Raw genomic sequence first — 24,511 nt, forward strand, 5'->3', positions numbered from 1 at the left:
TATATCAAAGATAGACAATTCGTCTCTTTAAGATGACTGGAAACAACAAATTATTGAAGGTAGCAAGGGTGACAGATCATTTCAAGGGTTATCGTGGGAGATTTTTCTGAGAAGAAAGAGATCAAGAGAGAACCGAGAGAACATAGAATGTTTGTATACACTGTAATATGCACATCACATAGTGCACTTTGAATTTATCTTATATTTATTATGCCTATTTATACGTATCATCATTGAAGAGCATCAAATCAATATACTTAAGTAATTTGATTAAAAATAGTTAAAACACGCAAAACTCTTAAAGGATTTAATAATATCACGTTAGGCTTCTTCAATACATGGTGCTTCAATCCAGAGAAATCTTTAGAAGGCTTTATAGACCATGGGAGCTTAGTAAATAAAATACATCAATGAATTCCTCGCCACACACACCACAATAAAATGTTCGTAGAAAGAGAGCAAATACAGAAATAGAAGAGCCAGTAGATTACAGAGCAGCAAATTGAAGTTGGTCACCAAAGATGCAAAAATTTCTAAAATATATACAGCACAGGACTACCAATTGTTAGATTTTGTATTTCACTATTTATCCCCAAATAGTTACAGTCTAAAATATTAACTCAGTTATTGACAAATAAAATCAAACGTCCCTCTATAAATGGAAAGAGATAACTCTTTAGATAAATATAAAGATTTCCATAGTTTCAATTGATTGTTGTTCACTTGAAGTATCATGAAAGAGAATGCCACTACACATTTTCATGCCATTTAAATGAAAAGAAACATATCAGAATTTTTCTTTAAGTATTTAAAAAAGGATTTTTTTCCAATATATGTATTGTGCAAGTTTGTGAGGATTACTAAATATATTAGCATTATAAAGTAGAAATAAGTAGGCAGTTGATTTTTAATGTGGTTTATTAGTTTATAATAGATTACAACATCTACAATTAACCTCAGAAAATAACTCACATCTTTCCTAAAAATGAAAGTTTTTTTGAGTGAATAATAAAATATGAGTGATATATTAGGGGTCTTAGAGGAGCAAGAAGAGATTCTGAATATAAACAAGCCATCATTCTGGTAAAAAGAAATACAAACAAGAAGAATAAAAATAGTTGATGCACAAAAGCCATAATGAGGGGGTAGCTCAAAAAATAACTTCTACTTTGAATGGTTTGGATGAAATACAAATTATCCACAGAAAAGTGTGGACTGGCATAAATGTTTGTACAAAATTATAAGTGTATTTCAAGAAGTATGCAAGAGGCAACCGCCTGCATGATGCACAAGGTCCCAGCAATGCTCTGCTTAAGTGCTAGTGCACAGAGTCCAAACCACTGCATTTTAATTACCATGCAGCTTCAGATATATTGCCTTTGATATGGAAATGTTCTTCTTCTCTCATCTTCACATATGGTCTCATGCACAGAAATCTTTATCTGATTCATAAAAAATAAACTAGAATCCAATCTCAACACCTGACCTCAGTGCTTAGAAGTTTTTTACTAAGCATGGTATCACTATAAAAAGAATGGCTAATATTGGTGTAAAGTTGGATATTTTGAGCAAAGATATGAAGGATTTGCAGTTAGGAACTGAATCGATACTGCTTCTCTGAGGTTTTAGGGTTTCATGTTCCCTTTTTTAAGACTACCACAGATTTGAGGAAAAACAGACCAGCACTCTTTTTTGGAGCTGAGAGAGTCTGCAGTAGATTTAAATGATATTCCATTTTACACCCTCCACCCACTTTCTTCAACTGATATTTCTATCCAAACTATTACAATGAATACTTAAAAATTGAAAAGCTCTATCAAAACCCATAATGCAAATTTTGAACTATTTCCAGTTTGTTTAAATGTCTAAACAAAATAATTAACTGAAAAGCTTTTACCCTTTTCCACAGAACAAGGAAAATAAAAACACTTTCCTGTGAATAAATAATGAATATATAATGAAAGGATGGGAGAGTTTCTGACACAACGCTCACCAAAACAATGAGTTTTCGGATCACATTTGAAAAACCTCAGGCCAAAAGGATATGCTACACATTTAAACTGGGCTTACATTAATATAAATTGCTTTTCCTACACTATATAGGAGCACTAGGTTTTTTTACTTGAATATTGAGATTCAGGGCATAATCAGTAGAAAATATACAGTCAGGATGAATACATAAACTGTTCTAATACCTTATTTTCCTTATTAGGAAAAAAAACAGAGGAGAGACATATTTCTTAAGAAGAAATCCAAACCCAAAGATAGTCCATTTCTTCCTCTAAACAGCAGTGAATGTTCATTTTTAGCAGGTTTCTATAATAAAATCTGTTATCATTAAATCTCATATACCTACATAACTTGATAATTGTGAAATAACTTGATTAATTTTTTAATGGTAATATGGCCTATCTAACCTCATGAGAGCAGATAATACATCCCATCTGCAAAACATCTTGCTGTAAGTTATCTGTGTTTTATCATTTCTAGTACCTGTCTGTGCCTGATATGGTATTCTCAGACACATTAGCTTGATGGAATGTTTCACTTGACTTGAAAAACATCAATTGATATATATGCATCCCTAAACTATATTAAAACAAATAGCTCTTAGATAAACCAAAATTTTTGTTGTACTATTCTATACTTTCATAGAAAGTTGTTCGTAAATAGTGAAAAATATATGTATGTATGAATTCTCTCACTAACAAGAGAATGCTTTCAAACATGGAAAGAGATACATAACCGAACAAAACAGAAAAGCATAGAAAATATTAAAAGTAGGTGTTAAAGCCAATGTATATTATCTTTTTCAAAAGAAATTCATTTATTCCAGTACCTACTATACTAATTGAAAGAAAATTATTTAAAAGTCACTAATATCTTCAATATAAGATAGACATGTGTAGCAATTTCATCAGTGACCAATAACTAAATAATTCCTAAAAAAGGTCAAATAGAAACAGACATAAAATCTCAATAATGCCATCAAATTTTATCATTTTTTACAGTAATATTGTTTAGAGCATTGTAAAAGAAAGATTTGCCAGTTAGGTTAACATATTGTACATATATGTTTTTCCCTTAAAATGAAAAATATCTGTTGTTTTCTGCTACTACTGAAAAAATGCCCAACAGACAATATAATTTTCCTACTTAATCTCATTTCTTCTAGGCATTCAGTTACCAAATCCATTATAGAATCAGCTTAAGGTATAGGTACTTGATACTATTATATCATTTATATCATGCTCCATAATAAAGAACTCAATTTTTTGTGCATTTTAAAAAATACATATTCACCAAGAGAATGTTCCTTCTCATGACTTCCAAAACATCAAATAAAAGCAACAATAAACAGAATAAACAATAAACAAAAAGCTATCTAGTTTTGCCACTATAACTGAAGGAATATGGTGGACAAGAGAAGAGAAACGAGGTGTTGGTGATACATGAGAAAAGCAACAGAGGATGTCACTATGCCTATGGAATTAATGCCCTGGTACTTGATATCGGGATCCTGCTTACTTACTATCTTTGGTCTTAAACTAGACCTAATAATTGTGATGCACACTTGCTTTCAAAGTTTGAAACATTTGTTTTTTGGTTGTTTGCTTTTTTTTTAAGAGGGACAATTTCTCTTGATTTATGAGGTTTTCAAAACTGTAGAAGGAAAAAAACTACATGTCATTTGGCCTACTGCCCATGTGCTCACATATGTGTATTCAAGAAGATACTTCCAAAACTGCACGGAAGATACCTAAATCAGTCATAACTTTTCTCCTGTTACAAGAAAGTGAAATATTTCATCGGTTCAATGAAAAGCAAATGCAACTTAATAAACCGTGTCCTCATTTCCCACCAAGAAAGGTGCACTCTTGCTGCCATAGAAAAGCTAACCCTGGGCCGGGCGCGGCTGTTCACGCCTGTAATCCCAGCACTTTGGGAGGCCGAGGCAGGCAGATCACCTGAGGTCAGGAGTTCAACACCAGCCTGGCCAACATGGTGAAACCTCATCTCCACAAAAATACAAAAATTAGCTGGGCGTGGTGGCGTGTGCCTGTAATCCCAGTTACTCGGGAGACTGAGGCGGAAGAATCGCTTGAACCCAGGAGGCGGAGGTTACAGTGAGCCGAGATCACGCCATTGCACTCCAGCCGGGGCAACAGAGCCAGATTCCGTCTCAAATAAAAAAAGAAAAAAAAAAGAAAAGCTAACCCTGTCCCACTAAACTTGTGAAAGATTTAGGATGTTTGCTTGTTTGTTTGTTTTGAAATAAAAAAGAGTCTTCTAGTAGGTATCAGACATATCTGAGTGGCCTAGAAACAAGGGGGGAGGAGGAAGACTGATGCAAGTGCCTAATGTTGAGTGTTGAATTCCAGAGTAACTGCACAGGGTAACAGAGGGAAAGTCATGTTCATGGCTGCAGAAATCTGGTCTCTGCCAGAAAGTGCAGGCTAAAGCAGACCTGACACTGGGATCTGGGAAGCCAGGTAGGAAGCTCAAGAAACAACAAGGTACTTACTGCTCCTAAGAACCCCAGGCTGAACCAGAGTAAGATAGGGAAAGACAGTAGATCTGCCCAGGCTTTCCCACAGTGATCACTAGCAGCCCCAAGCGGCTAGGCCTGGAGGGGGAAACCAGAAGCTGCAATCAGAGCACGGATATTAACTTCTGAGAGACCTTTGGGAGTGGGGGTGGGAGGGAGCACAGAGACAGGTAAACAATCCAACCTAGAAGCATGAAGTCCCTACCCAAGCCAGGACATACAATGCCAAGCCTGGAATGGTCTTACTGGGTTGGTGCAGAGGGCCACTAGCAGCCCTCCCCCACGAGTAGGATGTGAAGAATAGGTATGTTGCCAGATTTTCTCTGCATCTCCTTTCCCCATTCAGTCTGCACTCTGCGCTGGTGTCCAGTACCCCTCTTACCAATAGTTGAACAGCCGAAAAATAAGAAGATAAAATAGGAAGAGAAGAAAAGAAAAGATTAAAAAAAAATCCAAGACAAGGCTACACTGTCACATTCTTCTCTGCCACGGCCTCCCGAGGCTGCCCTGGCAGGTTCGGCCCTCCCTCGGGAATCCTGGAACCCAGAACAGAGCTGAGCGGACCAGGTCGGCCAAGCCCGTGCCTGCGGGCCTCGGGGACGAGGTGCTGAGTGCGCAGGCTAATTATACATGTGGCATTTGGGCAGCCGACTGTCCAGTGACACCTTACCTTATGAGGAAACGTCAACCCCAGCAACTGTTCAAAACAAAATGCCATTGCGGGATCAGCTTCGCCGGCCCTTGGCCGGTTCAGGGTTGCTTTTCCCACAGCCTCTCGAACTTTGTGCAAGAATGTGGCCTAGGGAGGCCAGCCGTGCGCGGGCGGGCCGACCAAGGTTGGGGGACAGGCAGGGCAGGACTTGCCAGGTGTCCGTCCTGTCCCTCCTCGCCATGGACCAGCTCGCCGACCTGACCACTTGACCTTTTTTATTCACCAAACCCACCTCCTAGAAATAAACTGGGCGGGGCTGTGTCTGTTCTCCTCGGGACCCGGGGAAAAACCTGGACATGTGACCAGAAAGGGCAGGAGAGAGAAGACCCTAGTGGGCGGGAGTAGAGGGGCCCTCTCTCATCTCTACTCCCCCGGGTTGCTGGCTGGGCCGTGCAGCCAGGGCCAAAGCCCGGCCGCAGGAGTACGCGGCTAGCACCGGCGCCCGGGACGCGGACGTCATCCGAGCGCCCATTGACAGTACAGCGGGAGGTCCGGAGCCCAGCCCAGTTTGCCGCAAGGACGGCTTCGGGCCACCTCTAGCCCTAAACTTCAAGCGCGGCCCTCACAGGGTCTCACACACAAAAGCAGCCCAGGACAGCCCATCTCGCTAACAGCCCAGCCCCGCCAGTTCAGTCGAAGACTTATTTTTAGTCCCCAAATAGGGGCTGCATTCAATATCTGACAATTCACACAAAACAACATTTTCAAACTTGGTCCGCCTAAGAGACCGTAAATAAAACTCAAAACAAGCTGGCGACTGCCACCTTTTATCTGCTCCGAACACACCAATTCTTTTTATCTTAAAGCTCTGCGGAGCGCCGGGGAAGCAGCCCGGCACCGAGCTAATCTGCCCTCAGCAGCCCCGGGCCGCTCCTCCCGGCATCGGAGCACAACCCCAGCAGCCTTTGCACAAGCCCTTTCCCTTCTCTGCCCGGCCCTTTAAGGGAGAAGGAAGAAAGCAGCTCCCGCGGGAGCGGCCGGGCTCGGGCTGGGTCCCGGGGCGGGTGGCAGCACCGCCCCCTGCCCTGGGCCGAGCCCGGGAGCAGCGGACCGCGGCCCCGGCTGCAGAGGAACGGCGGGTGGCGGGGCCCCGGCAGGGCGCCGAGAAGGACGGAGGGCGCCGGCTGGGCTCAGGGACGCGGGGCGGGGAAGAAACGTGCCGGCGACCGTGCGCTCGGCCGGGTGACTCCCTGGCGAAGTCCGCGCCCGGCGGGGCTGAACTACCCCTCGCCCCCGCTCCCGCCAGGTCAGGCACCACTGCCCTCGCGGCCAGGGTAAAGAGGACCACAGATCAGTCAGCCTTGGATTTCGGATGGGCTTGGAATTCGGTTTGTTTATTCCTGAAAAGATCATTAAAAAGTACTGTCCAAAAACGGGGGGAGGGGGAAGGAAGGGCGACAAGCGGAGGGAGCTGGAGGCAACTCGAGCGGTGTCCCGAAAAAGTTGCGGCGGAGCGGCGGTGGGGTGAGGGTGGGAGGAGGGAGCGCAAGCGTTTTCTAGCGACCCGGGTTTTCTTCATGAACTCCTCCGAGTAAACTTTATCCCGGCGAGAGAGCGGCGGAGATCCTCGACTCCCGCCCGCCCTCAACCAGTGTCAACCCCACAAACAGCCTAAGTTTCCAAACCGAAATGGGGGTGGGGTGGGGGTAGCATTAAGAAGCCCAGAAGCTCAGCGGGTCCTCCCGACCTCCCGCACCCAGAGCCTGGGTGACACTGAAGCGCTCCGAACACTGTGGCGTCTCAGTCACACAGCGAATCAACCCAACACTTTTCAAGAAAACAAAATATTTGCTAGGAAACTTACTTTGCATTTAGTCTCTATTCTTTGGGGGATGCGGTTTAGGTCGGCTCGCAAGGGAAGCCCGTTTTGTCCAGGTTGGATATTGTCTACGTATGGATCAGCCCTTGGATGAGGGTTTATTTTAATTTATGGCTTATGCATTCTTTTAAGGTCGATTTACATGACCTCCGGCTACAACTAAGACAGCCGAGGAGGGCACTCCAGTCGTCAGTCGGCCAAACCCACAATTAAAACAGCCCTCCCCCTAGTCTCGGTGTGACTAGGGCTCTCCCGGGGTAGGCTAGCTGCCTGCCTTTCTCTTTCTCTCTTCTCTCTTTACTTCCCTCTTTTTTCTTTTTTTTTTTTCCTTTATATCTTTCTTTTTTTAGTATCGCGAAATAAGAGGTGGTATCAGTTTTTTAAAAGTTTCAGTGTAACTTTCTCTAAACCCAAGCCTGCGGCGGTAACAAGAGATACAGCGCTCACAAAGCCCTCGGGATGTTGCCCTCTTGTGGGCACGGAGGGCATTACCGCCTAGCGGTCCCATCTGAACCTTCAAAGCCGACACGCATTTGCTTTCACAGAACGAGGAGGGATGACTACACACGCAGCCACAAAAGCTTCCTCTATCACACACTTGAGCGAACTTCAATGAAATACCTACCTCGAACTTCACGGAGACTTACAAATTCATTCTCTAAGCCACCTGACTTCTTTTTCACATCATTCCCAATTATATAGATTAGAATACCAATGCGGGGAGGCGGAGGTGGAGGAGTGAGGTGGGCCGAGAGGGCAGACAGATTTCCGGACGAATACTTAGGATGGCGATAACAGCTTTCTGTTGTCAAAGGTTGCGTTGTGTCCCTGTCCCTGCCCTTTTGCCTTAATGTCCTACGCACAGTTATCTACGGCTACAACATGTGTTTTCTCAGGGTGGATTTTTTGGAGGGGAGGTGAAGGGGAGAAAAACAGACCCCCGCCACGCAGATCTGTCACTCCGGAACAAGGCGCAACTCTCCAAGAGGGGGACGCATCCTCGGGATCAGCGCGTCCACCAGCGAGCGGCGGGCGCCCGGGCCCCTTTCTCTCCCTCCACTCCCCCTCCGCGTCGGCCCCTCGGAGCGCCCTCCTCCCGCTCCTCCTCCTCCTTTCCCCTCCCCAGCCAAGTACGCAAACCCGCCCCGGCCCGGCAGCCGCGGCTCCCGGCCACCCGCGCCCTCTCGGGGCTCCGCTCGCTCGGCTCTCGTCCCTCTGCCTGTCCTGCCCCAGCCCCTCGGTCCCAGCTCACAGAAACTAACCCTGGAGTGCCCGGAAGGGCAGGAGCGGAAGACGCCGGGGGACGGCGGCCCGGCCCTGGGCTCCTGCCCCCTGCCCCCTCCGGCGCCCCAACAGGTAGCTCACAGCGGGCCGCGCGCCCTGGCTCTGCCTCCCTCGCTCTCGAGATCGCTCGCTCCGTCCCGGTTACCTGGGCGGGCTCCAGGATGGTACCGCGCGGGAGGGCTCCTTGTGCGCTGCGCCGCAGGAGTAAATGGCATTAAAGAAAAAGGGAAAGATACAAATAAAAAAAATTAAAAGGAAGGGGAGTCGGTGCTAGGTCAATTGTCACAGTCCGGGGAGCAAGGGAACAGAACCCCCCAGCGCCGCGGCCGGCGTAGCCCGTTAACTCAAGTCTGCGGGGGTGTCCCGCCCCGGGTGGGGGCAGCGCAGAGCGGCAGAAGTTTGCCGCCGGGGTTCCAGGAGGTGCGCGCGGAGCGGGGTGACTAGGGGCTTCACCCTGGAACAAGTGAAGGCGATGGTTAGTGCTGTCAATCTTGGCAATCAGTGTGAGCGGCCATGTCGTAAGTATTCAAAGCATTTCCCGTCGTGCAACATCAGAAAGTGAGTGGCCAGGGCATTGATCTGAGCGAGGGAGAGGAGGCTGGGCTCCCCTCCCAGACAACACAGGCAAGATGAGACAAGAGGCGAGGGAGGCAGCGAGCCAGGCAGAGAAGCTGGGAGGGAGGAGGGCGGGCCGGGGGAAGAAGGAGGGGAGAGCGGGAGGCAAAGGCAAGAGAGAGCCGCAAAGAGAGAGGAGGGCAGAGACATCGGCGAGACCAGAGGTTGGAACTGGGGAAAGCGCCTGGAAAGAGACGGTGAAGCAACTACTAGGGGAGAACTGGAAGGAGACAAAGAAGAGAGAAAGTCGGGGTCAGAGGAGAATGGGGACAAGTACTAGGTGGGGGAGAGGCAGGCTGAGGGGAAAACGACCAAAAGAGCTCTATTGGGGCTAGGGCTGCTGGGAGGAGGAGTCAGGAGAAAGGCAAACTGTAGCGTGGAAAAGGTAGGCAACTCGGGGAGAAAAAAAAGGAGCAAACTGGAGAAAGTGAGGAAGTCAAATGGTAAAGGAAAATGTATGAATGGTAGCTTGTGCTTTGGAAAAGTTAGGTGACAGAAGGAGGCATGGGCTGAATGTTGAGAAGTACTAAGAGATAGAACTGGACCACAAAAGCGAGTCACGAGACAAACGGAGAAGGGGAAGGACAGGCAGGCCAGGGAGAAGACAAGAAGGGTGGATATTAGGATGAACAATAAGAAGGATGAAGGAAAACGAAAAAAAGAAGTAGTCAAAAGAGAGAAAAGAAAGAGATGAAGGAAGCAGAGATGATGAAAACACACCACTTAGTAGGATCTCAGCAAATGGGGGAAGAGAAACATTTTAAACGATGGAGGAGGAGGCGTTGAAAAAAAAAAAAGAAAAAGCAATTCACACAGGAGATTCCTAACATATGTAGGTGGCAGTGTTCTGGAGGCCATATGGATTATATAGTTTATGGATTCAAATTATTATAAATAACAGGACATGTACAAATCACCAAAAAATTATTACACTTTCACGGCAATAAATAAAACAATTCCACAATTGTTATACTGTTATATGGATAAGTCTTCATTGTATGGGATTGAGTGGATGATATATGTATATTACCTCAACTTTGTAGAGGAAAAGATTTGGAGAAACAATTTCAAGAGGGGTGGTTTAAAGGTTGTTGAAGATGAAAACAGTTTCAGTCACCCAGGATGACATATAAAAATGCCTAAGTCAGATGTAGAAAATTATGTTAATAAAAGACCCCCAGACAAAACCTAAATAAAGATTCCCTTTGAGTCATGTGTAGGGTAGATTATAGATTTGAAGGACATAGAATGTCATAAAGAAGTAGACACCTGAAACTTAATCTCAGTGCAAAAAAAGCTGGAGGACCAGGACAGGGAATAATCATGGTCTCAGGTAGTAGAGATGCAGAATATAAAAGATAGATGAGAAAACTAGCTTTGATAGCAGCACAAGGCTAACTAGAGGCAGTATGCACAAGGTGAGGTTGGCCTGCCTTAACCCAGGCCCAAAGAAATAGACTAGATTTGAGAAACTGAGGTCAGTGGAAAGTCAAAACTACATCAAGATAAAAGCTGGGAAAGAGGTTCTGAAGCACCAGCATAACCTGCAGAGATTTGTGAAGGAGAGATCCTTACTGTATAGAAACTCATATGAGATGGCCACTTTGAGACAGTTCATCGAAAGAGACTTTGTGAAAGGACATATGGACCAAAAGAGGAGTCAGGAATGCTGATTGGAGAAATCAGAAAGTTTCATGGCAATCTAAAGTTGCCAACATGGGGAAGACCTCCTACAGATGAAGTGATCAAAGACAAAGGGGAGAAAGTCTCATCTCTATTACATTATCTTTGAAGAAAACGGAGACAGGATGCAAGCACAGAAGATGGAACAAGCTGAGCTGTCGATCATATACTGCCTTTTTAAAATATACTCCATGTTGGTTTCACACAAACTCCAGATAAAAAAAGAGATAAGAGTGAAGATGAGCTCCTAGGATCTGTGGGGCAGAAGAAATAGTCATATGCTCCTGGCCCACTAGGAAATACAATGCTTGAAGACTGGTAGCTTGGGGACTGTGAGTTAAACTGACTTGATGTTTTTGGGAGGAGTTAGTCCCCAGCAAGAAATCTTGTGTCTCCACCAGCCATGGTGACTTTCAGGACTGGAAATTCTGTCTCTAGGGGCCAGAGCCTGGAGGCCAATAAGATGTACACCCTGGTACCTTGCTGGGCAGCTCTTAAAGGCCAGGGCTCCCAGAACTGCCTGCGGGCCCCTTGACCTCTAAGGCCCAAGGGGCAAGCTCAGACTGGTGTTTCTAGCCCAGACAGGAGTCAGATCTCCCCTGTGTGTGTAAGAGTGTCGTTGGGCCTGTTCCAGAGCGTTGCACTCCTCAGCTGTCTGCCCTGGAACTCAACAACAAGGGCCATAAAACCTCTCCAAAGCCTAAAGAGGTCATCATTGAAGGACCTGTCCTAAATGCCTGCAGAGAGGAGACAGGTGTAGATTAAGTCTCAAAGACCAAGTCCTCAGGGAAGAGCCACCTAGAGAGGTGAAACATTAGGGACGGAAAGGCTGGAGCGCGACTGGGTTCCTCCAATTTGCTGCGACAAGTTTGGCTTTCCAAATACTAGCGCGTCCGTCTCTTTAAATCACAGAGCAATCGGGGTTCTGGTGGGCAAGACTGACCCTGCCGACCAGATGCAGGCCGCTAGCGGGAGGCAAGAAGGAAAAGAAGGAGACATTATCAAGATCTCTGGCGTCCACTGAAGGCCCTAATACCCGGCCGCGATGAACCTTCCGAAAAGGAGCCGCAGGAACCCCTTTTAGATTTTATCTAATAAACTGATAGCAAAGTATATTGATAAGGCGGAACCCGGAGCAAGTAACAATATTCATCCCTAAAGGAAGGAAACTAAAATTTGGGGTCTCGATGCCGCACTTCTGGCTGTGTAAGAGTGACACGTGGCCCTGGGGGCGGGGGTGCCATCTAAGGGTTTCCTCTAAAGCCTCGGGCGCTGGCTATACCAATGAAGAGGGAGAGGCGGAGAGCGCAGCAGCCTGCTAAAGTAAAGTGCTGGGCTCTCCACCTACCTGGTGCGCACCGGCCTGCGGGCTCGGAGAAGTTCCCGGAGGAGCAGAGGGCACCCAGGCACGGTGGCCAGATCCAGGAACTCATAAGCTCACATCCCCTGGGGGTTGGAGCCCCACGCGGCGCAAGAACCCCGGGCGCTGAGCTCCGGGGAACCTGGGAGGGAAGGAGGGGCGAGCGGGTGGGGCTGACTTACCTGCCCGCAGCAGTCGCTGCCTCTGTGTTGTCCGAATGTCCCTGCGCACCGCAACCAGCAAAGGCAATTCGGCTTTGCTAACTTTGGCCTCGCACCTCCAGAGAAGAGGCGCGAACTCGCAAAAGGAAAGGCGCGCACGGTTCCTGGAGAGAGGTCCCCCTGAACTTGGGAAGGACAAGGCAATTAATTCTGCTCGAGAAGTTAGTATTTAAAACACCCACGCAAAAATCATAACGGCTATTAAAACCTCGAATTCCCGCTTTGAAAGACTCCTTACACCATCCGGGCGGACAATTCAGACCTACATGATTTCATATTGAAGTCGCTAACTTCTTTCAGGAAGGACTTCAAAGCTACTGTATAAATTGGACAAGCATAACTGTCAATCGCTCCCAAACACTGAGAAGAACTTTTACTGAAACGAAGGATAAATGAGAGAGTGTAAAAGCCAAAAGGGAAGAAGTTGAAAACTTTAAGTCAGTACGGAGAAGTTTTAGCAATTGGTTTCCTTAAACGGGATAACAAATAAACCAACACTTCAGCTGCCCATCGCACTTCATTTAAGTTTGAAGTAACCAAATAACCTGAACTACCAAATAACAGTGCCCTTGGGACTCTGCCTCAAAGAGGTCGGAACTCGTGTTTCAGCAACAAAAGCAAAAAGCAAACTGAATAATGTCCTGCGTTCCTTAAGATGTCATTCTGCAAAAGGACAAGGCATTGTCCCTCGACTTTAAGTGGACAGAGAATAACATTAAATTTCATTTGAATCTGCGTGTCATTTCTGTTAGGAAGATCACAGCGGTAGCGACAGTAGCGGCAGAGCACCGCCACAAAGGAGGTGGGGAAAAGTGGTAAAAATGCATGAACTTTTTTCCAAAGAAAAATAAAGATAAATCAAAAATAAGTTTTACAGACATGCCTTTCCTAGCTTAGGAAAGTTAATTTTTAAATGCGCTTCTGCTGTCTAAGGTGCAAAGCCAGGCTAGGGAGTGCGTGGCTGGAATCTGCATGCTGATAAGAGAAGGCTGATGTACTTACAGTGACAGAGGGCAGGCTGCGGGAGAAAAGCTGTTTGTGTTAGCCTGCGAGTTACCCAGGGCTGCAGTGAGAGCAGAAGGGAGGAGTGGGAGTGCCAGTCTGCGTACACCTTCACCGCGTCTCATTACATCTGCCAGCCTCTCTCTCCCTCTCTCTTTCATTTCCACATTCCCTTTGTTCCTGAAAAAAAAAAAATCTACACGTCACATCAGAGTCCCCAGATGCAGTCTACACCAAAGAAAAAAATGAATAATTCAATCAAACTGTGCATAGTCTCTAAGGCAATAAATCTATTACACTTAAAGAAACGAAGGGTAATTACCACCATAGAATTAAAATAAGGCCAAAGACCAGAGAAGTCGCTGAGTCTGTGGATAAACTCATCCGTAAATAAAGTTTCATTTATTTAATCTTTTTGGCATCTCAAATGGAAAGTCAGAGAAAGATTTTTAACTTATTTTAGAAGGGTACTCACTTCTTTTTAAACACATTGAGGCGGGGGGGCGGGGTTGGGAGTGGGGGGATGGCGATGAAGAAAAGGAGAAAAAGCCTGGAGTATACTACCTTGCTCAAAAAGCTCCCAAAGGCAGCGTGGAGCGGCACAGACACGAACTAAGACAATGTGTGTCTGCGGAGCCTGTACAGGGTCCATTTCTCCCCCACGTCACCCTCCTCCATTCCCCTCTAATGAGACGCGGATCACCCTCCACTCTCACCGACACTGCAGCTCTGCACAAGGGCAGCTGGAATCTGGGAACCTTACCTGCAGCACCAATACCTAAGAGAAATCGCGCTTCCCTGACACTAACACGCCATGCCATCCCCACGCACCCTGCCAAAGTCCTGTAACCATCTACTTCTTCCATCTGCCTAAGAGAAACTGTAAACGGGATTTCCCCCCCACGATTGAATGGAAGCTCTGTACTGTACCGACTTCTGGATTTGCCCTGGGTTGAGTTTAGGGAATGTCTGGAAAGAAAAAAAGGGAGGAAAAAAGGAGGGGGGCAGCTCAAGCCTTGTCCAAGTTAGTCAGAAGGCGGTGTTAGGCAGGAAAGCGCCTACGGGAAAAACAGCTGGGATGCAGACGGGCTATGGAAATCTCAGTTCTAGGAACCGTGTCCTTTCGTCCCGGAGGTAAGATTGTGTGACTGCCTCACGTTTATTCTTTCACTGTCTGTGTCTCTCTTCCCCACCCCCAACTACCCCTGCCACTCAGATCAGCCGGCATGCACCCTGGAGAAGGGCACAAACACGGCGGGGGCTTTATTTTTCAGGTCTCTCCACTCATAAATTATGGGTGTCACTAAAACGAGATTAGCAAATCTTCTACCGCTGGCGGCGGCAACCAGAGCCTCTGTCTTGCCAGTTGCGCACTCTGAGACATCTCTCGGTGCAGAGTGGTTCCGAAGCCCCAGCCCGCTGGGTCGCTCGGCCTGAGGGCTCAGGTGATGGAGAGGAGGCTCGCGGCGTCCCAAACGGGTTCGGCCAAGGGTTTCCACCCCATCACCACTTCCCGCTGCCTCCACGCGCGCGCGCGGACCCACGAGCACACACACACGCACGCACACACACAGACACGCGCGTATTCTGAAATTCTGGCCGAACTCCTCATCTAAACGGAAGTCCCTTTACAGTCAATTCAGCCCGCTCCAGAGCATCGGGGAAACTAGACTGTTCCGTGGATGAACTGCGAGGATGCCGGCGGTCAGGCTTGGCCGAGCTTTGTTTACGTGCCTAAGTCGCCACCTTGAGGTCGAGGGGAAGACTGCGCCCAGCTAGGGGCTGTAGAGACGAACCCAGCTGACACTGGCCCAGCAGCCTTGGCGACCTCCCGGGACCGCCTGAAAGAGAAGCAAAGGGAGGGCGCCCTGCGGGCGGGCGGGCCACGCTAGGCGCCGTCTGCCCTCAGAGACTCGGGCTGACAGGAGTGAGAGCTAAAACTTCCAACTAGCTGAAACCAATAGCCGGGAATCGAGCGAAGGCGAACTCTCCCAGCAAAGTATAAAGCTTCGGGCCAAAGAGTCTGCAGCTCCAAGTCAGGGGCTGCGGCTCCGAAACTCCAAACACTAACTCCCAGGGCAGTGGCAGAGGGTGGGGGCAGCTTCGAAGAGGCATACCAACTGCTCCGGTCCTGGCCGAAGACCGAGCTCCCTTCTGCGGTGACCTCGGCTCAGAGCTGACTCCGTACTCCCTGGGACTCATCTCCCGCTTCCTCTCCACCTTCGGAACAGTAGACAAAGGGACTCAGGGACGCGGCCAGACCCAAGGTCACAAACGGAGGTCTCCGAGACGAGAATTGCGTGCAAGAGAAGGACGTTCAGGCAGCCCGGCCGCCTGCTGCGAGAGCTGAACATTTCCCAGCTCTATAGTCGCCCATTTCTCAGGAAATCAGTCCTTCTGAGTGTCTAACAATGGATTAGGTAAAATAATAATGATTATTAATTATATCAATGATTTTCTATTTTCCCATTCCTACCCCTATGGAAGCCTTTTTCGCTCACCGTTCTTCCTATATTCACGCCTTGCACTAAAAGAATGCCAGGCTTAAGAACCTCCTAGCTAAATCCTGAAATAATTTATCGCGGTTGTTCTTTGTTACTCCTGGTCACTGCCTCCAAGGCTTGGGGACATCTGCAAGGCCACACCGTAGGTCCTCCTCGGTGAACTGTGCCCCATGGGTTCCTCAGTCATTTCCCTGCTACTTGGATGCATAGACATTATTTAAATATACTTTATAAATTGAGAAGAATTCTATTTATTTCAAGAAAATGGGACACTAGGGAACTATTTTGTTTTATATGAGCATAAATCAGCCCTGGCTGACTTTGGCCGTGCCCATTCAGTATTTTGGTCAACAATAAATAAATAATGGTATAAATTAAAAATTAAAAATATAGCCACAGCAACCCGATGCTAATGGACAACAAGAAATGTCTTCTCCAATAAAAGAAGCAACAGGCCCCCAAGCCGGACCCCACTCCCTGTTTCATGCCACAGCCTATCAAATTAACATTGGATAGCTCTTCCATTTATGTGGAAAGCTGAATGTTACCGAGAACAGTACTGAAGTTTCCCAGGGAATCCCAATTATAGAAACACCTGTGCTAAGTAATGCTATTCTAATCCACTATGAAAACCTTAAGTATGTAATAGTCCTCAAATCATCTCATTTCTTAGTTGCAGTGGGGTAGGCCAACCTCATACAAGAACATTAGACTTGTACAATGTCCTGAGAGCCTTAACTCAGAGCGCTCTTGGTTTTGCCATACATAATCCTGGCAGTTCATTTTATCTTAAATGGAAAAAATATACACATGAAGTTTAACATAACTGGCAGAAACTAAGCCAGGGTAGGAATTAAACAAATCCAGTGACTACAAAACTGGAACACAAATCACATGTGCAGTCAGGGACCAATTCCATTATTTTTAATCAAAAATTCTACAACATAGGAGTTGTCACTATTCAGTCTATATTCTCCATTTTACCATAAACAGAATATTGAATGGCAAAATATAAGGAAATGAAACCACCATAAATAATGTGATAGAAACCAGAACATTGTAAACTCCTACCAATTTCCCAAAAAACATACATGTCAGCTATATTTTTAACAATACCAGACCTAATATTTTTGAAGTGCTATCTGAAAATATATCTATTTATTAAGGTAATCGTTGCTTTATTGCTTAAGGCGGCCAAAACTAACACTTCTGAAACATCCAGATGAAAAGTGAAATTTCTATCCATCATCTAACTGTTTCTCTTACAATGATACACAGAATTTTGGAATTTTTTTGAACTGAAAGTTATCTAAATAATTACACAAGTAAGTATGATTATCACAATAAAACACAGAAAGGAAAAATATAAGGGTTATAGGATAATAACCACAGAAATAAACTTTAGTCACTAAAATTCAAAGTACCCCTCATGATAATATCCTTCTGAGATACTGTGTTATCTTTTCACCATCAAGTAATGTTAAAGCTTGCGCATTCCTTCATACATGCCTTTCTCCATTTATAGACCCACTTGCCTCTTCCCAAATCTGAGGTTGGCCATTCACAAAGATGATTACCATATCATTCATTATACATTTTAGCCCGCCTAGAAAAATTTGGTAAATCAGTATAGATCCTTTCCAATACCTAATAAAAGACAAAGAAGGAACACAAAAGTAATGCTGTAAAACTTCCCACCAATAAATATGAAACAATAACTTATTACTAGTCTTTAAAAATTTGATAGTTTACCTCAGCAGTTTGTTTTATTATTTGTTAGCATTGTGTTTAAAACTAAATTTGACTAAATTCTCTAATTTTAAAATTTGTTACTTAAAAATCTTCTTTGGAATCCCATACTATTTTTTAAATTTCTAAATACAGGATTTCTTTTGTGTGCGTATTTTTTTTAACATTACAATCATATTGGAGACTTTGCTTGTTTTCCACAATTTTATTCATGCTTAAATATTTACTGAGTGCCTAGTATGTGCAAAACAAATAATGAAAAGTATGTTAACTGTGGATTTATCTTTTTACTTTTATAATAGATATTAATTCAAAATCTATTGCATATATACTGAAAATTAATTTTTATTAAATATGCCAGCAGAAGCATCCTGTTCAATATTTGATAATTCCACAAGATGATATTTCATTCTATTTGGCACATACTATTGAAATTACCTGTTATTTTTATTAACCAACAAATTGTATACATTTCTAAAAATAAGTTTTCTGACTTATCAAATGATATATCTATAAAAAACCTTTACTTAAAAATAGGATGTATACTTATAAGCCAGTTCCAAACAACATCTTTTAATTTTAAATCAGTTCTAAAAGAAGACTGAAACTGTATTTCAAGTCAAAGTGTTTAATATAATTGCTATGCAAAGTTATTCTATAACTTGCTAAGTTTTATGTCTTTAGCATGTATCATAATGATACATACAAGATAGAGATGTTATCTTCCCAAATTCAAACAAACAAATGAAAGCTAAAAAATAAGTCAGTGTTCCCAAGTATCTGGATGTTTGCTATTATATAAATAGCTCATTGGGTTTTGTTGAATTTTTACACTTTCATCAGAATGTTTTCTATGAGTTTGAACATATTATGTTTAAAATGGGGGAAGGGAGGAAGAAAACAATAGCGTAAATCTGCAACAATGATCATCCTCATGTTCATTCATGTTTGTTTAAGATAATAACAAATGAAAAGCTTCACTTATTCACGCTTAAAGTTCTAGAATAGTAGGCTTTTGGGGGAAAATACTAAACTCAACAGCTCAATACAAAAACCTCTTTTAATTGCACACAATATGTTATCAACCTACTTTCAAAGTTGATGAAGTTTAGTACTAAATTGAATATTAAGCAAATAAGTGTTAACTATGTTCACTAGAATTAGCATATTTCAGATATTTTTAAGAGCATCAGCATCATGATATGGTTGTCATAGAAACTGCAACAATATGTCATTTCAATTAATTTTATATGCAGTGATAAGGCCTAGTTCTACATCACTTCAATACAAGTTTGAAAAGCAGAAACTGAAAAGCAGATATAAACAGTGAACAGTAAGTTTCCAATTTCTACCCGTTTAGAAATAGAGTACGAGCCTTTTAAAAACAAAAATTCACAATGCATTCCAATGGCATGAAAAAGATAGCAATTTAATAAAGATTACAAAACATTTTAAGAGTACATTCTGAAAAAAAAGTTTTTACTAACAACCAACCACTTCTCTTAATATTCCATACTCTTGTTATTTAGGTCTATTTATAGGTAAGAAAAATTATTGGTTATTACATTACTTAATTATTAAATTATGGATGCTCTTTCTGTTCTTGAGAGATAGGTGCATTTGCTTTTACATTATAAATTCAGAACAACTAGAGCAGAACTTTAATATTTTTAAAGTAATTATTGCAAGAGATCCTTTTCATTTAGAAGGAAATCACACTGTATTATTGCAAAAGCCTTCTTAGTATATCACTGTGAGAGATATTCTGTTGACATTAATGGCTTGATTATTGGAACAGAAAAAGCCTGTGAAAATAAAGCATATATTTCCTAAAGAATAATTATGGCTGAAGATTTGGAGCTCAAAATTAATTTGTTATTTAGCTACCAAGTACCTATTCTTTATATTTTCTTTTATTGCACATTTCAATATGGAATATGCCCAAGAAAACTCTGAAAATGATTTGAAAAGACACATTAGACTTAAGTCTATATTTATCATGCATCTTTTTAACATATAATATAGCCCATGTTGCCAATAATTTCAACTAATTACTACAAAGCAATATCCTCAAAATATCTATTGAAATATTGTCTTAAAAGTAATTTTTAGAAAGTGAATGAATACTATGTGAGTATTTTTTTTAATGAAGTCTAAAGGAGCAGTCTACAGAAGAAAAGATAAACATATGCAACTTATTCTCCTTGATAGGATTAGGAGGATTCCAAAGAAGCATTTAAATTCCAGTTTTCCTGACAATTAACAATGAAAAACAGATGTTTACAAAGCTGTTTCGTATGCGGTCTTAAAAGACGATAAAAGATGGTTTGTGGATAGTAAGAAGGAAGAGCCGGATAACTGCTTGCCGGGTGTATATTTAAAAAGCATTTTCATTGGCTTAGTTATTGTTAATAGTGAAAGAAAACACTTTGTGCTGCACATACTGTATGACTGTGACTATAGAAGACTGCCATCATAAAGTCCTCAAAAACTCTTAAGATGTAATTTACAAAGATAATAATAACACAGAATTATTTCACTTCTCTGAATGCTACACATTTGCATACCAGGACTGTGTACAATATACTCATAATGCACATTCATAATAACAAGGACTTCTTAACTCTATAACTACAGCATAAGATCTGTGCAGTAGACAATCCATCTTACCAAGTTTTACTTATTGGTGTGAAAGTGTTAGTCTCAGTAAGCCAGGTGTTAGCTGTCTACGAAGTTGAAGACCACATTAACTACTACATCACCATTGTGAGAAAATATAATGATAAAACTGAAAATCGTGTGACTTTACCAGACAATAACACTACTAGCTAGCTAAGATTATATCTAAGATAATGTCAAATGAATATTTCAAGAGTTGGATGTGATAATCATGAGCCCGTATTACCAAAAAAAAAAAGAAAAGAAACTAAAAATCACTGATGTTTGTCCTTGATATTATTATTTATTGAACCAGGCACCATGCTCTGTGCTTTTTTTTTTAATGTTTAAGTTTTAAAATAGTCATTTGGGTATTTTTCTTTACTCAAAATGATGAATCTTCTTCATGAGGCATTAATCTCCTGCCCCATGCCTAGTAACTGCATATTTGGTATCCACTAGAGAAACCAAATAAATTCTAATTTTGGTTATTATCCACGATGTCTTTCATTTTTATTCAGCAGGGAATAAGTATAGTCTAATAAATGACAGAAATATGGTGTTTCTATTGCCTAGAAGAGTTATTTTCTAAATTTACTTCTGATACTTTTATATTAGTCTAAAAGGAAAAGATAATTTTTAAACAAAGAGAGAAGGAAAATTAAGCAAGTGGTACAATATGTAACGGTACCTGGATTAGCACAAACTGAGCAAAAATATCTAATTAGGAAAAATTTCTGAATATACTAACACATTTACATTTCAAAACTAAAATTTCATTTAACATGAAAAAATGCAACATAAAATAATTACTTGTCCTTATAATTTTTATTCAACATTCACCACCCATGGGCATTTATTTATGTGGATATTATTATTGAAATTGAATGTATTTCACTGTTAAGTTTCAACTATCTCCCAAATTATAATAAAGAGTAAAACATATTGATGTATTTGACTTTATTCTATTAAGAGTTTTTTAAATGTAAGCTGATTATTTACATGAGCATTACAATTTATATAAAGACCATTATTACTTAAACATAAGGAACAAAGAAATTACTTTGAACCAGCAACATTTAGTCCTTGATATTATATTAGCTAAAAGATTGTTAAAAATCACCAGTAGACTTCTATTATCCTACCATTACAGCTCAGGTTTAATAGACAAGGAGAAATTTGTAAAACTACTTTGGTTTTCAAAATCAGTACTAGTACAAAATCTCTTAAGTCTAAATTTTATGAGTGGGATTCCAATGTTTGTTTCTATTCTCTTTTTAAAATAGCTTTTGTTAGAATAACATTTTATCCATTAACGTTTAAGAAATGATTTTGCAAAGCCAATAAGAGATTTAATGTATCACTGGTTTTTTCATATGAGTATATGTTATCTATCTGGGCATGACGATATAAAAAATTACAAGGACTTCCTGGATGGCAGGCAGTGAAACACACTATAATCATCAGCACTGGAAAACCCTACATTATGTTGCCCTGGTTGGAATCAGACTCCAGGGATTACTGCCTCAAGCTTCCTGAGTAGCTGGGACTACAGGCCCATGCCACCATGCCTGGCTTGGAAAACTCTTTAAGTACAAGATGTATTCAAGGTTTTCATCAAAATCAAGTAGTTATATTTAATATCAATAAAACTATATATGTCTACATGAGATAGGTGATCATATATAATTATTTTACCTTGTAGTCTTTTGACCCAGAATTTCAGCAATTTTGTGATTTTTCCAAATACAGCAATAGAAAAATGAAGTACCAACCCACCTTTCCTGGAATAGGGCCATATCAATTGGACCTAGGAGAATAGGTACAGGGCCTGCTCTTTTTTAATTCATTAACCTTTTTTGCCATAATTTTATTTGAGCCACTACAGCCACCAACTATCACAATTTTGTGGACTTGTTCTTATTTTATTTCCTACTGTTTCACAAATTTCTTCTGTGCAGTTATTAAAAATACTATTTCCCTTTTATCATTTGACAAATCTAAGCACCCAAAATGTGAACTTTCTCATTCTGCTTTCATTTGTGTGCCTATATTTGGAAGAGCATGGAGATTTTTTTCTACCAAGATGAACAGTATTTGTAAACTTACATAAGAGGTGTCCTGTAATTAGGAAACTTGTTTTTGGTCTGTTTGTTACAATATTTCACAAGCAAAGTTATACATATAACAGTTAACACTTACAGTTACACAAGGAGGGCTCATGTACTCCTTGTGATGTCTGTATTTATTTTCTAATGTCCTTAAGGTAAACTAAAAATCCTAAAATGAAAGAACTAAGAACAATTTATCTGAGCTACTTCCAAATGTATAGGTGTGGGTGCTAAGATATAAGAAGAGTAAGAAAAAGAACCATGGTATCTGCATTCCATGAGTGTACAGTTTACAACCATTCCAAGTCATTCCAACAATTGCATGGAATACATTGACTGTCATGGTCATTCAAATGTCACAAGAAAAATATACAACCTACAAATAGTGGGAGTGAGTAATATCTCATTTTTCCTGAGAGTATAGTGTTGTACATAAAGATGAGCTAGAGTATTAGATCGTCTTAAAAGTATAGTTTTGTATTCATTGGCTATGTACATGTAGATACTATGCTAAACAAGAGACTAGCATAGAGTTTAATAAATCAACTATTAAAATTATTTATACAAATCATTCAACTGCAGAATTTTTTTCAGGTTTCCAAGTTTGTGGTGTCCTATAGCATATCTATTAATAAGCCTTCATTCTAAGTCATTCCTATCTCCTAACAACTGCTTCTGTATTTACAATTGAGAAAATAAAAGCATTCCTCATAGGAGACATCCTAAGAATGCATATATGCAAAGATTCTCATGAAATTCTATCAGAAAGAGAGACAAAAATCTTGATATTTCTTACAGACCTGCTGTCAAGTTATCTGATTTGACTCATTTTTTGCTCAGGCCTGATTTCTTTTAGGTCCTAAAAATATACTTATTTTCACTTATTTGTAAAAATCAGTAACAGAGCATTGCTAGGTCATCTTGTGGATGCCTTTTATTTTTAATTGATTTTACTTTTCTTAAAGTAATGCTTGCAAAAAGTAAAAAATTCAATTTTATTGAAAAGCTTATGTGTGACAATGGACCTCTACCACACCTTTCCCCACCCTCATTCATATGACCCAAAGGCAATCACTGTCAAGTCTTTTAAGTGTTACTTTTGGTATTTAGCTCCACATTTCTAATAATGTGCTCATAAGTATATTTTAAGCTTTTGTGTATACTGATTTATTTTATTTATTTCAATAGGTTTTTGGGGAACAGGTAGTGTTTGGTTACATGAATAAGTTCTTTAGTGGTGATTTCTGAGATTTGGGTACACCCACCACCTGAGCCGTGTACACTGTACCCAATGTGTAGTCTTTTAACCCTCATCCCCTCCCACCCTTTTACCTGAGTTCCCAGAGTCCACTGTATCATTTTTATGTCTTTGCATCCTCATAGCTTAGTTCCCACTTATGAGTGAGACCATACGATGTTTGGTTTTCCATTCCTGAGTTACTCTGCTTACAATAATGGTCTCCAATTCCATCCAGCTTGCTGTGAATGCCATCATTTTATTCCTTTTAATGACTGAGTAGTATTCCATCATATATAAACCACAATTTCTTTATCCATTCATTGACTGATGGGTGTTTGGGCTGGTACCATATTTTTGCAATTGTGAATTGTGCTGCTATAAACATGCATGTGCAAGTCTCTTTTTCGTATAATGACTTCTTTTCCCCTGGATAGATACCCAGCAGTGAGACTGCTGGATCAAATGGTAGTTCTACTTTTAGTTGTTTAGGAAATCTCCACACTGTTTTTCATAGTGGTTGTACTAGTTTACCAGCAGTGTAAAAATGTTCTCTTTTCACCATATCCACACTAACATCTATTTCTTTTTGTTTGTTTTGTTTTCTGATTACGGCCATTCCTAAAAAAGTAAGGTAGTATTGCATTGTGGTTTTGATTTACATTTCCCTGGTCATTAGTGATGTTGAGCATTTTTTTTTTAATGGAGTCTCAGTCTGTCACCCAGCCTGGAGTGCAGTGGCTTGATCTCTGCTCACTGCAACCTTCACCTCCCAAGTTCAAGCAGTTCTCCCACCTCAGCCTCTCGGGTAGCTGGGATTACAGGGGCGCGCCACCACGCCTGACTAATTTTTGCATTTTTAGTAGAGACGGGGTTTCACCATGTTGGTCAGACTAGTCTCGAACTCCTGACCTCAGGTGATCCACCCACCTCAGCCTCCCAAAGTGCTAGGATTACAGGCGTGAGCCACTGTGTCCAGCTGCTGAGCATTTTTTAATATGTTTGTT

The 24,511-nt window shown here is 42.0% G+C and overlaps 1 protein-coding gene and 1 long non-coding RNA gene across 3 annotated transcripts in view, besides 3 other annotated features; one reads left to right on the forward strand and one right to left on the reverse strand.

Annotated features, from left to right (window-relative positions):
• SOX6 (SRY-box transcription factor 6) overlaps positions 1-24,511 on the reverse strand; it is a 772,029-nt gene that overhangs the window by 632,387 nt on the left and 115,131 nt on the right. The window contains exon 3 of the mRNA NM_001367872.1: positions 13,246-13,425. The gene's annotated coding sequence lies outside the window, so the exon portion shown is untranslated. The remainder of the gene's footprint in view (positions 1-13,245; positions 13,426-24,511) is intronic.
• Positions 1,453-1,653: a silencer, noted in NCBI's record as "peak1218 fragment used in MPRA reporter construct". NCBI's record gives its function as "represses an SCP1 promoter by STARR-seq MPRAs in K562 erythroleukemia cells {active_cell/tissue: K562}" and the evidence as "EXISTENCE:reporter gene assay evidence [ECO:0000049][PMID:32103011]".
• Positions 8,287-8,788: an enhancer, noted in NCBI's record as "OCT4-NANOG-H3K4me1 hESC enhancer chr11:16628669-16629170 (GRCh37/hg19 assembly coordinates)". NCBI's record gives its function as "activates a minimal SCP1, AML or CMV promoter by ChIP-STARR-seq in primed H9 embryonic stem cells {active_cell/tissue: H9 hESC(primed)}" and the evidence as "EXISTENCE:reporter gene assay evidence [ECO:0000049][PMID:30033119]".
• Positions 8,789-9,288: an enhancer, noted in NCBI's record as "OCT4-NANOG-H3K4me1 hESC enhancer chr11:16629171-16629670 (GRCh37/hg19 assembly coordinates)". NCBI's record gives its function as "activates a minimal SCP1, AML or CMV promoter by ChIP-STARR-seq in naive and primed H9 embryonic stem cells {active_cell/tissue: H9 hESC(naive and primed)}" and the evidence as "EXISTENCE:reporter gene assay evidence [ECO:0000049][PMID:30033119]".
• The window catches only part of LOC105376571 (uncharacterized), a 42,807-nt gene continuing 32,264 nt past the window's right edge, over positions 13,969-24,511 (forward strand). The window contains exons 1-2 of one of the 2 annotated variants that reach the window (XR_931086.3): positions 13,969-14,379; positions 14,880-15,665. This is a non-coding gene — a long non-coding RNA (uncharacterized LOC105376571). The remainder of the gene's footprint in view (positions 14,380-14,879; positions 15,666-24,511) is intronic. The other variant, XR_931085.3, reaches the window with a different exon arrangement.

This window comes from Homo sapiens, chromosome 11 (assembly GCF_000001405.40).
Source record: "Homo sapiens chromosome 11, GRCh38.p14 Primary Assembly".
NCBI lineage: Eukaryota > Metazoa > Chordata > Mammalia > Primates > Hominidae > Homo > Homo sapiens.